The 13,271-nt window shown below is 41.9% G+C and overlaps 1 protein-coding gene across 11 annotated transcripts in view; it reads right to left on the bottom strand.

The window, feature by feature from the left end:
- TRIO (trio Rho guanine nucleotide exchange factor) overlaps positions 1 to 13,271 on the bottom strand; it is a 366,863-nt gene that overhangs the window by 178,991 nt on the left and 174,601 nt on the right. For all 11 annotated transcript variants that reach the window (NR_134469.2, XM_047417679.1, NM_007118.4 and 8 more), the window contains one exon: positions 314 to 436. Coding sequence is in view for 10 of the 11 variants with exons in the window: in XM_047417679.1 (XP_047273635.1) it covers positions 314 to 436 (123 nt within the window). In the remaining variant the exon portion in view is untranslated. The remainder of the gene's footprint in view (positions 1 to 313; positions 437 to 13,271) is intronic.

The following is a 13,271-nucleotide window of genomic DNA, read 5'->3' as shown; positions in this document are numbered from 1 at the left end:
AGGAACTGTTATTTCCTGATTATAAACTGGAATTTCACAAAGTAGTCAAAAGGCACTGGTATAATAAACAAGACAAAAACACCCAAGTCACATTTCTGTTCCAAGAACATCGTATTTTAGAAAGCGTCAACTTACCAAATCATGTTTCTGCCTAGGCAATGACAACTTCACTCTGAAATCGGAGCCTTTACCTCATCTGAGGTGTCAAACACATCGAGCTAATGCTAACTTATCTCAAATGTGGTTAAAACTGTAATCCAAAATCAACCACACGGGTATTTATGGGATAAAATAATAGAAGCCATTGTTTTACCTGTGCCACTTCTTCAAAATCTTCATGACGTTTCTGCAATGCTCTGGCCCGATGAAGAGATTTCCCCACACCTGTATGTTTGCTCAGAAATGCTTCTCCGTGGTTCTCGATCCAGTCTAGCACCTACAATGAAATACAGGTACATATGCCATAAAAACAATGTCCTGCCATGTTCAATGTTTAAGGTTATCCAATGAAGACCCCTTCTGTTGTTAAAACTCTGTAAGAAACAAGAAGCAAACGAGAAAAAAAAATGGGAAGAAGTAATTGGATACTAATTTAACACACTCGATAATTACAAGCTGATAATTACATCAGCTTTCCCAGCAGGACTTTAATCATCTCTTACATTAAAAGTGGAAACCTTTCTATGTATAAACATTGCATGCAATAATGATTAAATTAAATCTCAACTTATCTATGCACCACTGGGCCACCAAACTGACTGGGTATTGTATAAGACAGTGATTAGGAAGTCACACAGGGCCAATTTAACTTAGCAATTTTATAAGGCTTAAAGCTACACTACTAAGGCAATTCAAGTTTAACTACAGAGTCATTTTTTTTCCATCTCTTCTTTAGAAGACTCAAACACATGAAGTAAAACCTAACACTTACATGCCTCAGTCTTGAGCTTGGATAATTTATTCTTTAAACTAAGATGCTGCAAAAGCTAAGCATTTCATGAATTTAATTACTTAAAAGTTCTTGCTAGGTGAAATCCACCACACTAAAGAAAAAGTAAAAACAAAGCAGTATAATCTTATGTTTTAAACTTCGTAGTTGGAACTGAGTAGTTCATTGGGTCTCATACTTAAATCACAAAACGCTGACAATATCTAACAAACTAGAGTTGACCTGCGAACAATATGGGTTTGAAATACACAGGTCCACTTTTATGTGGTTTTAAAAAATAAGTACAGTCGGCTCTCCGTACAGAAGGGTTCCGCATCCACAACCAAATGTGGACTGAAACTACAGTATTTGCAGAACGTGAAGCCCACATATACAGAGGACCAAATGCAGGACTTAGGCACCCATAGGTTTTGGTATATGTGGGCGATCATGCAGACACTGAGGGACAACTGCATTTACACTACATCAAATGCCCACTTTGTCCTCTTTGATGGATAGGAGATAACCAGCAAAAAACTAAGTCAGTGATGTCTTTAGCTAAAAACTAAAAACTTTAAAAGATTTTAAATATTTAAACATATTTGTTAATGCACAGCTATAGTATTGAAGGTTCACTCATACTTTGCATGTTGTAACTCTGGTGCTCTCTTTGTCCATTCAGCCTGCTCTAACAAAACACCTTAGACTGAGTAATTTATAAACAACAGAAATGTAGGGCTTCATAGTCTGGACACTATGAAGTCCCAGATCAAGGAGCCAGGAGACTCAGTGACTGGTGAAGGCTTGTTCCTCGTTGAAGGTGCCTTCTATGTGTCCTCACATGGAGGAAGGGGCAAACAAGCTCTCTCAGGCCTCTTTTATAAGGGCACTAATGCTATTCACAAGGGTGAAGCCCTCATGGCCTAATTCCCTCCTGGAAGCCCCACCTCTTCTGGAGTATATTTCAACATGAATTTGGGGGGACACAAACATTCAGACGATGCAGATCAAAATCACCTTGGACTAAAGAACAAATGGGCACACACAGCAAAGACAGTGGTCTAGGGGGCAATCTGGGAAGCCAACCAGCCATGGCTCTGCTAATGGCAAAATAAAAGGGGCTTAGCTTGTGGTTCCTTGCCCTTGATCAACTGTACTGTAGAGAGATCAGCCATGTTCATAGATATAGGGGGAAAAAAGCAGCAGCTGGTGAGTATCAGAGCCTGACATGTTCCTCATTGCTCCAAACCACTGACCTTCACATCTGAGGGCCTGGCAGAGGGTCCTTTCTGGTCAAGGTCTAGCAAAGTTAGTATTACAGGTAAATTGCAGACCTTAACAAACCTCTTGTGGTCCTCTGTACAGACCCTTCTAGAACTGGCAGGCACTGAAATCAGACGTGTGGGAGGTGTGGGGTGGGGGTGGAGGCCGAGCCTGGTCTCATTTCCACCCCTCCATTTCCAGCCCCCCTATACAGAGACATAGAATTTAGCTGTGTGCTCTTGGGCAAGTTCCTTATTCCTTCTCAGCTTCAGGTTCCTTACCTGCCCAGTGGTGACAGTCACAGGTAGTTGTCAGCATTCGATGACCTCTATGTCAAGCATCTTAATGTCAGTGTGGCAAATGGCATCCCCGCCTATAACCAGAACTCATGGCAAGCTTCCATCTCATTTCAAGCTCCTGACGGCACAGGCTGTACATATTCCATTTTAACTAATGTATTCGGTACATTATTTTAACTAGAGTATTGAGTCCATTGTTTTAACTGGCGTATTGAGCGCATTATTTTAACTCGTGTATTGAGCGCATTGTTTTAACTCACGTATTGAGCACACTAACTAGTGTATTGAGCACATTGTTTTAAATAGCATATTGGGCGCATTGTTTTAACTAGTGCATTGAGTGCACATTACTTTAACGAGTGCATTGTTTTAACAAGCGTATTCAGTGCATTGTTTTAACTAGTGTATTGAGCACATTGTTTTAACTAGCGTATTGAGCTCATTGTTTTAAGTAGTGCATTGTTTTAACTTGCACATTGTTTTAACGTATTGAGTGCACATTACTTTAACTCATGTATTGAGCGCGTTGTTTTAACTGGTGTATTGAGTGCTTTGTTTTAACTAGCGTATTGGGCGTGCACTTTAACTGGTGGATTGAGCGCATTGTTTTAACTAGTGTATTGAGCACATTAGTGTATTGAGCACATTATTTTAACTCATGCATTGAGTATATTATTTTAACTCATGTATTTAGTACATTATTTTTCTTTCTTGGGATTAAAAAGAGAGTCCTATAAGGTATTGCTACATTCACCACCTGATTTCGAGGCAGACAAAGCGTTGCTGAGTTGTTTGTCCCACAGTCTTTTATATTATAAAACACAGGTCCATTCCACGGCTAAAGAAATGTCTCAAGGACAACTTCTGGACCTCTCGGCCTTGAGAATGGATACATTTAATGGAATGTGCTCCTGGGCATGAGGCCAAACCATGCAAAAGAGAAGTATCAAATATTTCTAGCTTGAAAAGAATTTAGAGGTACATAAGTAACACCTCTGCTACAGTTCACCTGCCTGTAAGATCTACAGGAGGGCTAAGGAGACTTTTTTTTAAATTATATAATATATTCGGTATATTACTTAACTTACGTAAAGAGAAAAATTAAGTCACCAGTAAGCAGCAAACCTGATGATTACTGGAAAGTCCATAGAGACTTGAAATAAGGGCACAATTTCAAAAAATAAAAGATAAACATTATTTGGTAGAAAGGGCCAGAGGAAGCAAAATACAACATTTTTAAATTAATAAAAATTTGTTTCTGGCCAGGCGCGGTGGCTCACACCTATAATCCCAGCACTTTGGGAGGCCAAGGTGGGCAGATCACCTGAGGTCAGGAGTTTGAGACCCGCCTGGTCAACATGGTGAAACCCTGTCTCTACTAAAAATACAAAATTAGCCGGGCGTGGTGGTGTACACCTGTAATCCCAGCTACTTGGGAGGCTGAGGCAGGAGAATCGCTTGAACCTGGGAGGCAGAGATTGCAGTGAGCTGAGATCATGCCATTGCACTCCAGCCTGGGCTACAACAGCAAAACTCCATCTCAACAACAACAACAACAAAATAAAAATAAAAAAGAAATTTGTTTCCAAGTATTTTAGGAAGTTTTAAGTTGGAAATAAAAGCTGCTATAAACCAACCACTCAGGATTATAATGGGCATTTTTCTTTTAACAGTGATTCCTTCAGACAGAAATGTAAATACCAGGTGAAATCGTATTTCCAATAAACATGAAAATAATTCAAAGGAATATGTACAAATTCCAATGATAATTTCCACTTTTAAAATAATAATAAATAATTGCAGACAGCTATGAAATCCAGCTAATATTCAAAACCAAACTCCCCATGAGGCTGTTGATTCTAAGTATGGGTAGATTACTCAGATTACCCAGTGATCCTGAGTCAATATACCTGGTCTAAGTAACATTTTAAAGACATGCTTGTGAAATCTTCCCATTTAAAACATACTAAGATAAGCAAATTACAGGCCTTTATCTATCCAGTCCAGCCAGCTGCACCTCCGCCCCCTTCCCAGACAGTCCTGTTATCTATTTGCTCTGTGTCCTCAACTCCACAGACAATAAGGCTGGCCTGGGGCTTGCTGCTTCCCTTCCAGATGAAAAACACAAAAGCTGATCCCTTCCCACGGCTACTCTGCACAGAGGCAGAAGAGTAAAGCTGGAGACCACCACCACCTTCCTCTCTGTTCAGAGGGTGTGGTGTGGGCTCATTCCTCAGTACACCAGTGCCCTCTAATGGACAAAACAACAGTCCCAAGGTCACGGTTGTTCCAAAGTGGACCGTGCACACTTGAAACAGCTACCATCGCTCAGCACCTAAGTCAAATGTCAGAAGGCAGAAAGCTGTTCAGAATGTTTAGCTTAACTCCCTGTTTGTAATGAAAAGGAAACCAAGGTCCTAATTGCAAGACTGAACGTGATGGTGGCATGATTACGGTCATTTGACCAGCAATCATCTCGCCATCTGAGCACCTGCTGTGGAAGCAGCCCCTGACCTAAGGCTGTGTGTGCAGTGAGCCATCCATCCTCACAGTGAGCCAGGGGTAGGGCGATCCCTATCCTCTTACAGATGAAGACACAGGCAGGGCCCTCTGTGACTTTATGGGAAAGCCTGAGTGTGCACTAGAAGCCAGGATGCCTGCCTCAGGGCTCATCCTCCCGTCTACACTGCTTCTGCCCTGACATACAGGTGAGATGAAAAAGGAAAGACCTCTGCTTTTGTTTCAGAATGGTTCAGGCTGTTGGGTAAGTAACCTCTTAGGAAATGACGCTGTCACAACGCTCAGCAAAACTGAGTTAGGGTAAATCTGCGAATAGTTACCAACCCTTGATTAGATGCAACAGGAACTGGCCACAGGTAATGCTTCCTCAGTCCCGCTGCAGAGTTCTGGCATCCTGTATAAGCTATTTGTAAAATTATTTTCTGTAGTAGGTCCCTACTACCTAATACTCAGTATTTGTGGTCTTGTAGAGTATTTACGGATTCCTCTTTCTCAGTAATTACTATTTAAAAATTTGTTTAAAAATTTCTCTCTCTCTCTTTCTCTCTCTGCTGTGGTTTGTTTGGCCCCGCCAAGTCCCACACTGCAATATGATATCCAGTGTCAGAAGTGGGGCCTACCGGGAGGTGTTCCAGTCATGGGGGCAGATCCCTCATCAATGGCCTGATACCACCTCAAGGGAGGGAGTGAGTCTAACTCTTAGCTCCTGCAAGAGCTCATTGTTGAAAAGAGCCCAGCACCTCCCTCCTTTTTCTCTTGCTTCTCTCTCGCCGTGTGTTCTGTACACGCAGCTCCGGCTCCCCTTTGCCTTCCATGCTGAGTGGAAGCAGCCTGAGGCCTCCCCAGAAGCACATGCTGGTGCCATGCTTCTTGTACAGCCTGCAGAACCGTGAGCCAAATAAACCTGTTTTCTTTAGAAATTACCCAGACTCAGGTATTCCTTTATAGCAACACAGACTAAGAAACACATACTAAACCCTCATCAAACAGGAGAGTATTTCAAAGCCTACCTCACAACAACATACGATGTGAAAACCAATGTAAATGATATTTTCCCTTTGAAATGCAGAGGTGTTGATTGCAAATACTTCCTAGAATGGTTTTCTATCATGGTCATGCATCGCATCATTGCCATCAGCTCTATTTATTGAATGACTGTTCTATGCTCTGCTTGGGAGGGCAATACAGTTCCATGATCTCAACCACAGAAAGCTCTGAAATTCCAAATATTTTTCAAAACTTGGTTCTAAAAATTCATCCGTCAATAAAACCTAACCTGAGGGTACTTACATAGTCTTTACTGAGTACTTAATAAGTGCAAGTCCTTGAACATTCAGCTATAGAAATAGCCATGCATTTGATTATGGGGGGGCTGTCCAGATGCCACTAGAAGTGTTAGTATTGTACACTGTGTTACTTTTCTAATCTTTGAGAAATTCTGAATTCTGAATCACAAATAAAAGCTACAAATAAAAAGAGAGCAGACTTTAATCATTATTTCTATTAAGCAAGAAATTGAGGCTCGGATAAGTAACCTGCCCAAGAAAAGAGATTCAAATGGAGGTCTTCTCAACTCCAAGCTCACTACATTCCACTTCAGTTTGTAAATACTGTCTTTAAAATATTTCTAAAACTAGAGTTTCATCTCTAGAATTGCTACTTGAAAAACTACATAATACATCTGACATAAAGCAACCAAGAACATACTAAGCTAGTTTGTTTTTACAGGTAATTCTGCATCCAAAGAGCACACAGAGAAAATAGATAATCATCTGTCAACTGTAGCCACTGTTCTCAAGATACAATACATAATGAATTAGTGTGTTTTAAGTCAAAACAATGAGAACCCCTTCTAAGTCACATCTTACGCACACAAAAATGAAAATAAGCTCCTCTGATTCTATAATCCATTTAAAGAATACATGAAACAAATGAAAAGCAAAGGTAAATCTAAAATACTCTGAATTTGTTCTTTTTTATACAAAGTCAGATTTTTTTTCCAGTTGCAAAATAAAGATTTCCTCCCTGCCAGCCCACATTCTCTATAAAACCAAAATTAACAACCTGGTTCCATTTATTTTAGTTACTCAGTCACTGTCTTTTATTTAAATCGCTGGGGAAACTGATAGAGAAATGAACATATTACATTCTGAGCTTTCTGGACTATCAAATCAATGGTATTTTAGGGATATACAACAAAAGATGACTCATTGACTAAGCAACATCATTTCAGATCGGTTAAACCAAAGTAGGTGGCCATAAAGGAAGACTTTCACGTAGATAATGTTAATTTTTATTAAAGGCTGGTGTTTGGCAGTGCTGTAAGGATAGTCAATATTATGCTACTAATGAAATTTACCTACAAAGTAAAAATCACAAATGAAGGAATCCTTCTGAGTTTACTGGAATTCATATACTCATCCTGTGTTAGTCTAGCTCACACTTTCTTTCCTAGTGCTCTGGCGTACTTTACTCATGAAATCACTGGTCTTATTTTTCCCTCTCCCACGGAGGCCAAGCTCAGGGAGACCCCAGACCGCATTATTCACCCCCAGCTGTCTAATCGCCATGCGGCGAAGCAAGGGAGGCCTGAGATAGCTGAGTGGGGCTGGAGAGTGGTCATGGGAGCTCCTTTTCCCTTTCCATTGATTCCCTCCTAAAGGACTAAACTCCTCTCTCTCTCTGTTCTTAAGTGGCTGTTTTCCTTCATGGTCACGGGCAATTGCAGCTTCTAGGAAAGCCTGTTCCCTGTGACTAAAAGCACCACTCAAAGATTCTTTCTTCAGTATCACGTTGATTTTACTCTTTGCTTAGCTTAGAAGGTAGGCATCCTCCTCAGACCCAGAGCGGTGACACAGAAAAAACACCAAGAGGTTCTCGGTGCTTCTGCCAAGCCATTCGACTTTTCCAAGGCTTGCTTTTATTACCTGGAAAATGAGGGGGCTCCAGCTTCAAATTCTATTGTGTGTGAGACTACTTTTAAAAGTGAAATAAAACAGACACAGAATTCAACACACATTTGTGGGCTTTGGGGACCAGGGGAAGAATGGGAACTTTTGAGGTCTAGCATTCACCACGGACTGACATTGAAGATGTTTTAGATGAGGGGTGTGTGGGAGGGAGCCAGCCCTTTCCCCAGCCTTTGTCCTCTCACTGTTAAATCTGCAGCTCCATCCTGGCTGTGGTTCCTATGATGGCTGGATTCCAGTCCCACCTCCTCTGTGCTCACTACTGCAGAAGGTTAATTAGGAGCTGGCTCTAGACCCACCAGGAAGATCAGCAGGTGGCCTCTACCTGCGCCCAGTAGTTCCCAATCCAAAACCAAGCCTGTGCCTCCACTCAGCACTCCCTAATTCTAATAGAGAACTCAGAGAAGATGGCAATCCTGTAGCCATTCTAATTAAGAGACACAATCAAAACTGCGAGTGCTGGAGTGTAAACAGAAGCAAGTGTTAAACAGCTAGGGCTATATGATTCTGATGACTGGAATCAGAAAACTCCCTCCTGACTCAATGAACAGATGACAAGGGAGTTCAGGAACTCAAACTTCACTTAAAAGCTAGGTCTAGTGTAGGTGATGCTAAACCTAGAGCTCCTGAGTCAGGCTTCCTGCAGAGCTGGCTTTTGCAGGCCGAAGAAATAGGCTGGGGCCTGAGGCAAATCTGTGAAATTACTTCTCTATAGACCTGGGATGTGTTGCTTTGCCTCTTAGGCATATGCCAACTTCCCTCCTCCAGATGGAATTCAGCATAAAAGACCCTCATTTTGCATTCAAATGACCAAAATCCTCATGAGAGATCTCACACTTCCAAAATTCCCATGCACTGAAATTATCACTTCCTTCCTTGGACACCCCTAGTTCCCCAACATCAATCAAAGATTCCATTCCTTCAGGCAGATCTCCCAGATATAAGACCAACCCTCCCCCATTTTAAAAGAAATGAAGCAACTTTTAACCCCAAAGAATCTTTAATTAGCAAAATTGGGGAATTCCTTAAATTCCTTCAACTACTCATTCAGTCATTCAACAAATACTGACATCTGCTCTTCCAGACACTTGGGAAACACCAGTGAATGAAACACTGATGGCTGTCTCTGTGGTCCTCACGTTCTTACTCTCCAAGACTTACTCACCCATGACTTGCAGGGGCGTTGTATTAGTCTGTTCTCATGCTGCTAATAAAGACGTATCCAAGACTAGGTAATTTACAAAGGAAAAACATTTAATGGAGTCACAGATCAGCATGGCTAGGGAGGCCTAACAATCATGGTGGAAGGCAAAGGAGAAGCAAAGGCATGTCTTACATGGCAGCAGGCAAGAGAGCTTGTGTAGGGGAACTCCCATTTATAAAACCATCAGATTTCACAAGACTTATTCACTATCACGAGAACAGTACAGGGAAGACCCACCCCCACGATTCAATTACCTCTCACTGGGTCCCTCCCATGACAAGTGGGAATTATGGGAACTACAATTCAAGATGAGATTTGGGTGGGGTCACAGCCAAACCATATCAGGCGTCCACAAGGGAACCTAACCAGGTTCCTGGCCTTTAGGTTCACTCCTGCTATCCACCCTCCACTGCCTACAGCATCAAGTTAAAAGGCACAGAATAGGAGATCCTTCGGGCTTTGAACTCTATGAGGTGAAATGGGTAAAGTTCAATGGGCCAGCTGTGAGCATGCAGAGAGGAAAGACACATACATGGCAGTGAGCACCCACAAAGCACCAAGATGAGCTTGATGCTGTTCAGAAGTCACACACAGCCCTTGCACCATGCACTGGCATTCGGCGCAGGTAAGCATGAGCTCCTTCAACAGGGGCCCAAAACCCTCATCGTGGGGGCCACGTTTTCTGTGCCTGACCCCATGTTACCTTGCTGGCACCAGCCCCACCTCATACCTCTCCATCCACACTAGGCACTTGCCGCTCCTTGGATGGGTCCTGCCTCTTCTGTCCTACTCTTGCTGGAATTCCCATTGCCCACTCCTCAATCTACTGACCTTCTCCTCATCCTTCAAACAGCTGCTCAAACTCTACCTCTTCCACGAAGATATTCCTAGTAGCCCTCAATATGATAGCTGCTACTTGCCCCTCTACTATAGGACCTTTCATTTTTCCTTGTGCATTAGACCCTTGACGTTTGAGAAGAATTCAGAAAAAGCTCTCAGGAACACTCAAATTTGCACAAATCACTGAAGTGTAGATATGCCCCATCAAAATGTGTATGCTGCAAGGCAATCAGACACCACAGAAGAGGTCGCAAGTTTCATCCACCCCTCACTCCTGATAGCACCTTGACAAGGAGGATTCAAATTTATGCCTTAGCAAATTATACTCCACAATAACCAAAGACATGAGTGTTGCAGATGAGCCTGGCACAGTCAAATTTAGTAGACTACAAAACTATCTGCTAAAAATAATCTGCTCTTATCAGATTATAAATTCCTTGAGAAAAGGAACTTGGACCCTGTCAACATATTTATCCCTGAAACTTTCAGAGCATCGCACATTCAATTAAGGTATTTTGGAAAGAGAAAAAAAGAATAAAGACTGGACAAGAAGAATTTAGAGTGGACTAGGTTTGCCTGATCATTTTTTAAAGAATATTAATTAAAAAATGGTCCAACATGGCCCTGGAGGGTCCTGCCAAGAGACACTTGCAAGGGGGTGGCGCTCACACATGAAGGGCTGTGGGGGAAACGGGGGCTTTGCAGAAGGCATCCCTGCTGAGGGGCTTCCTCTAGGGGACTCAGTAGGCTTCAGGAAAGCAAACACATGGGGCCACTCACTGCTCCTGACATGCTAGAGTAACTGAATCTCAACAATCCAAGAAGAGCCACGCCAGCCGAACAGTTGAGGCAGAAAAACAAGTCTGATGGCATCCTCTTTGGACTACTACTACCCATCTGAACAGGTAAAGCAAAAATGAGTTACCTTCCTAGAGAAAACTAAAGCATACTCTAAACTAGAAAACAGTGTGTAGCAGTAACACAGCTATTCATTTATTCATTCATTCAACCAAACCTTCGCTGAGAGTTACTCTGATAATAAACATAAGGCAATGGAGAGATGTATATATCTGATCATTAGGAAATGTGATAAAAAATTTCCATTTTCTTTTTAAGTGAACAATGGCAAAGGCAGCCAGCATGTGCATCTGGGAAAGTCCTCAGCAGGTCTTCCCAATTCCCCGCCCAGCTCTAAATTGGAAGCACGGTAAGTGTGCTACACACAGCAGCTTCAACCACCTTTCCCGCCACGCCTGACTACCATCCAAAATGCCTTCTACACAGAAGTTATGAATTGGCCCCCGCTTATTAAGAGGGGAAAAAATTAACCTCGAAACCAAAATTAACCATGTTTTACAAACCAAACTCCCTCTGTCATCCTTCCCCATTCAGTTCCTCAGGGCCCACTAATAGACATATTTGCTCCTTCAAATATTTTTCAACAGACAAGCATTTACTCCTCTGGGGTTACTTTCATAAAACTGTAATCATTCCATGCCTCGCCTATTGTTCAGTAACTTGCTCTTCCTTTTTCTCAATGTACTTACAGGTGCTTTTGCATCACTCAAAACAATCAAATGAAAACCACTGTCGTGTCTCTAACCGGCTTACTATGTTTTTATGGATTTCGGTTACTACTGTCTTTACAAATTTATCTTCTGCTGGTAACGTCCTTCTAAAGTACTACTATTTTTCTTTCATTTATTCTTGACTTGCCTCTCCTACTCTATGCTTAATATGGCAAAAACTTCCCTATGTGTCATTAATTCCTTGAGTTTCAGAAACACGTTTTTGGTTTTGACATCCTATTGTCACAGTATTTACTTTAATTAATCTTACCAGCCTCACTCTTTACCTCACAAGTCAAAGCCTACAGAGCAATTTCCTGTTCACACAACAAGTCCAGACCATTCCAGATCATTCATCAACAAAAATATTTACCTTAATGAGCAATATCTATTTTCTATAGATTGCTAACAGGACCATATATGCATTATGTGTATTGCAAAAAACACTTTCTCCTGCTGACATCCAAGCCAATATGCTGTTTGAGAGGGGAAAAAAAGCTAGCTTAAAGAACTGGCCTCATAATTATAATTACCTTTCTACATGTTTGCTGTTTTTAAATTCAAGCACATTAAGTATTTGGCACCAAATTAGATAGCCAGATTCAGCCTATTCCCAAGGGCTTCCTTACCTTGTGCCCTTTTCTAACCTAAGCATGAGATGAGAGAAAGAAGAGCCATGAGAAATGGGGTGTGGGGGGAAAGGAGGGGGTGCCCTTGCTGCTGCTGCCTCGGAAGAGTTAATGAGGCCCCCTCTTGGGAAGTGCATCAGTCCACGGATGTGGAATTATGCTCAACCTAAGGGATACAAGGAATGTGGGGAATTTTTCAACAATTAGATTTAAACTCCAACATTTCATGGTTTGTAGAAGTTTTTGGACAATTCAAAAACACGATTATTCATGATTTCATTCCCACAATGTCTGTCCTCTCAATCCCTCTTCACCACTGGCTCCAGCCTCTTCTTTCCTGCACTGTATTCTTTCTCTGGCAATTATCTTCTTGGACTAAAACAACATTGTTAAGAAGCATGAATAATAACAAAATGATCATTCCTGAAGCACTCTGTATATGTAACCTTCAGAGAACTCAAAAAATAAAATTAGAATCAAAGCACGGTATATGAAAATTAAAAATTACAGGGCCATTCAGTCTTTTTTTTTTTTTTTTTGAGATGGAGTCTTGCTCTGTCACCCAGGATGAAGTGGAGTTGTGTGATCTTGGTTCACTGCAACCTCCGCCTCCCCAGTTCAAGTGATTCTCCTGCCTCAGCCTCCTGAGTAACTGGGATTACAAGCATGTGCCAGCACGCCAGGCTAATTTTTTTTTTTTTTTTTTTTTTTTTTGAGATAGAGTCTTGCTGGAGTGCAATGGTGCGATATCGGCCCACTGCAACCTCCGCCTCCTGGGTTCAAGTGATTCTCTTGCCTCAGCCTCCTGAGTAGCTGGGATTACAAGCATGTGCCAGCATGCCAGGCTAATTTTTTTTTTTTTCTTTGAGATGGAGTCTTGCTCTGTCACCCAGGCTGGAGTGCAATGGTGCAATAATCGGCCCACTGCAACCTCCGCCTCCTGGGTTCAAGCAATTCTCCTGCCTCAGCCTTCCAAATAGCTGGGATTACAGGCATGCGCCACCACACCTGGCTAATTTTTGTATTCTGAGTAGAGACACGGTTTCACCAT

This window comes from Homo sapiens, chromosome 5 (genome assembly GCF_000001405.40).
Source record: "Homo sapiens chromosome 5, GRCh38.p14 Primary Assembly".
Classification (NCBI taxonomy): Eukaryota; Metazoa; Chordata; class Mammalia; order Primates; family Hominidae; genus Homo; species Homo sapiens.
The sequence above is the reverse complement of the archived record's forward strand: the minus strand, read 5'-3'. Positions and strand labels throughout refer to the sequence as shown.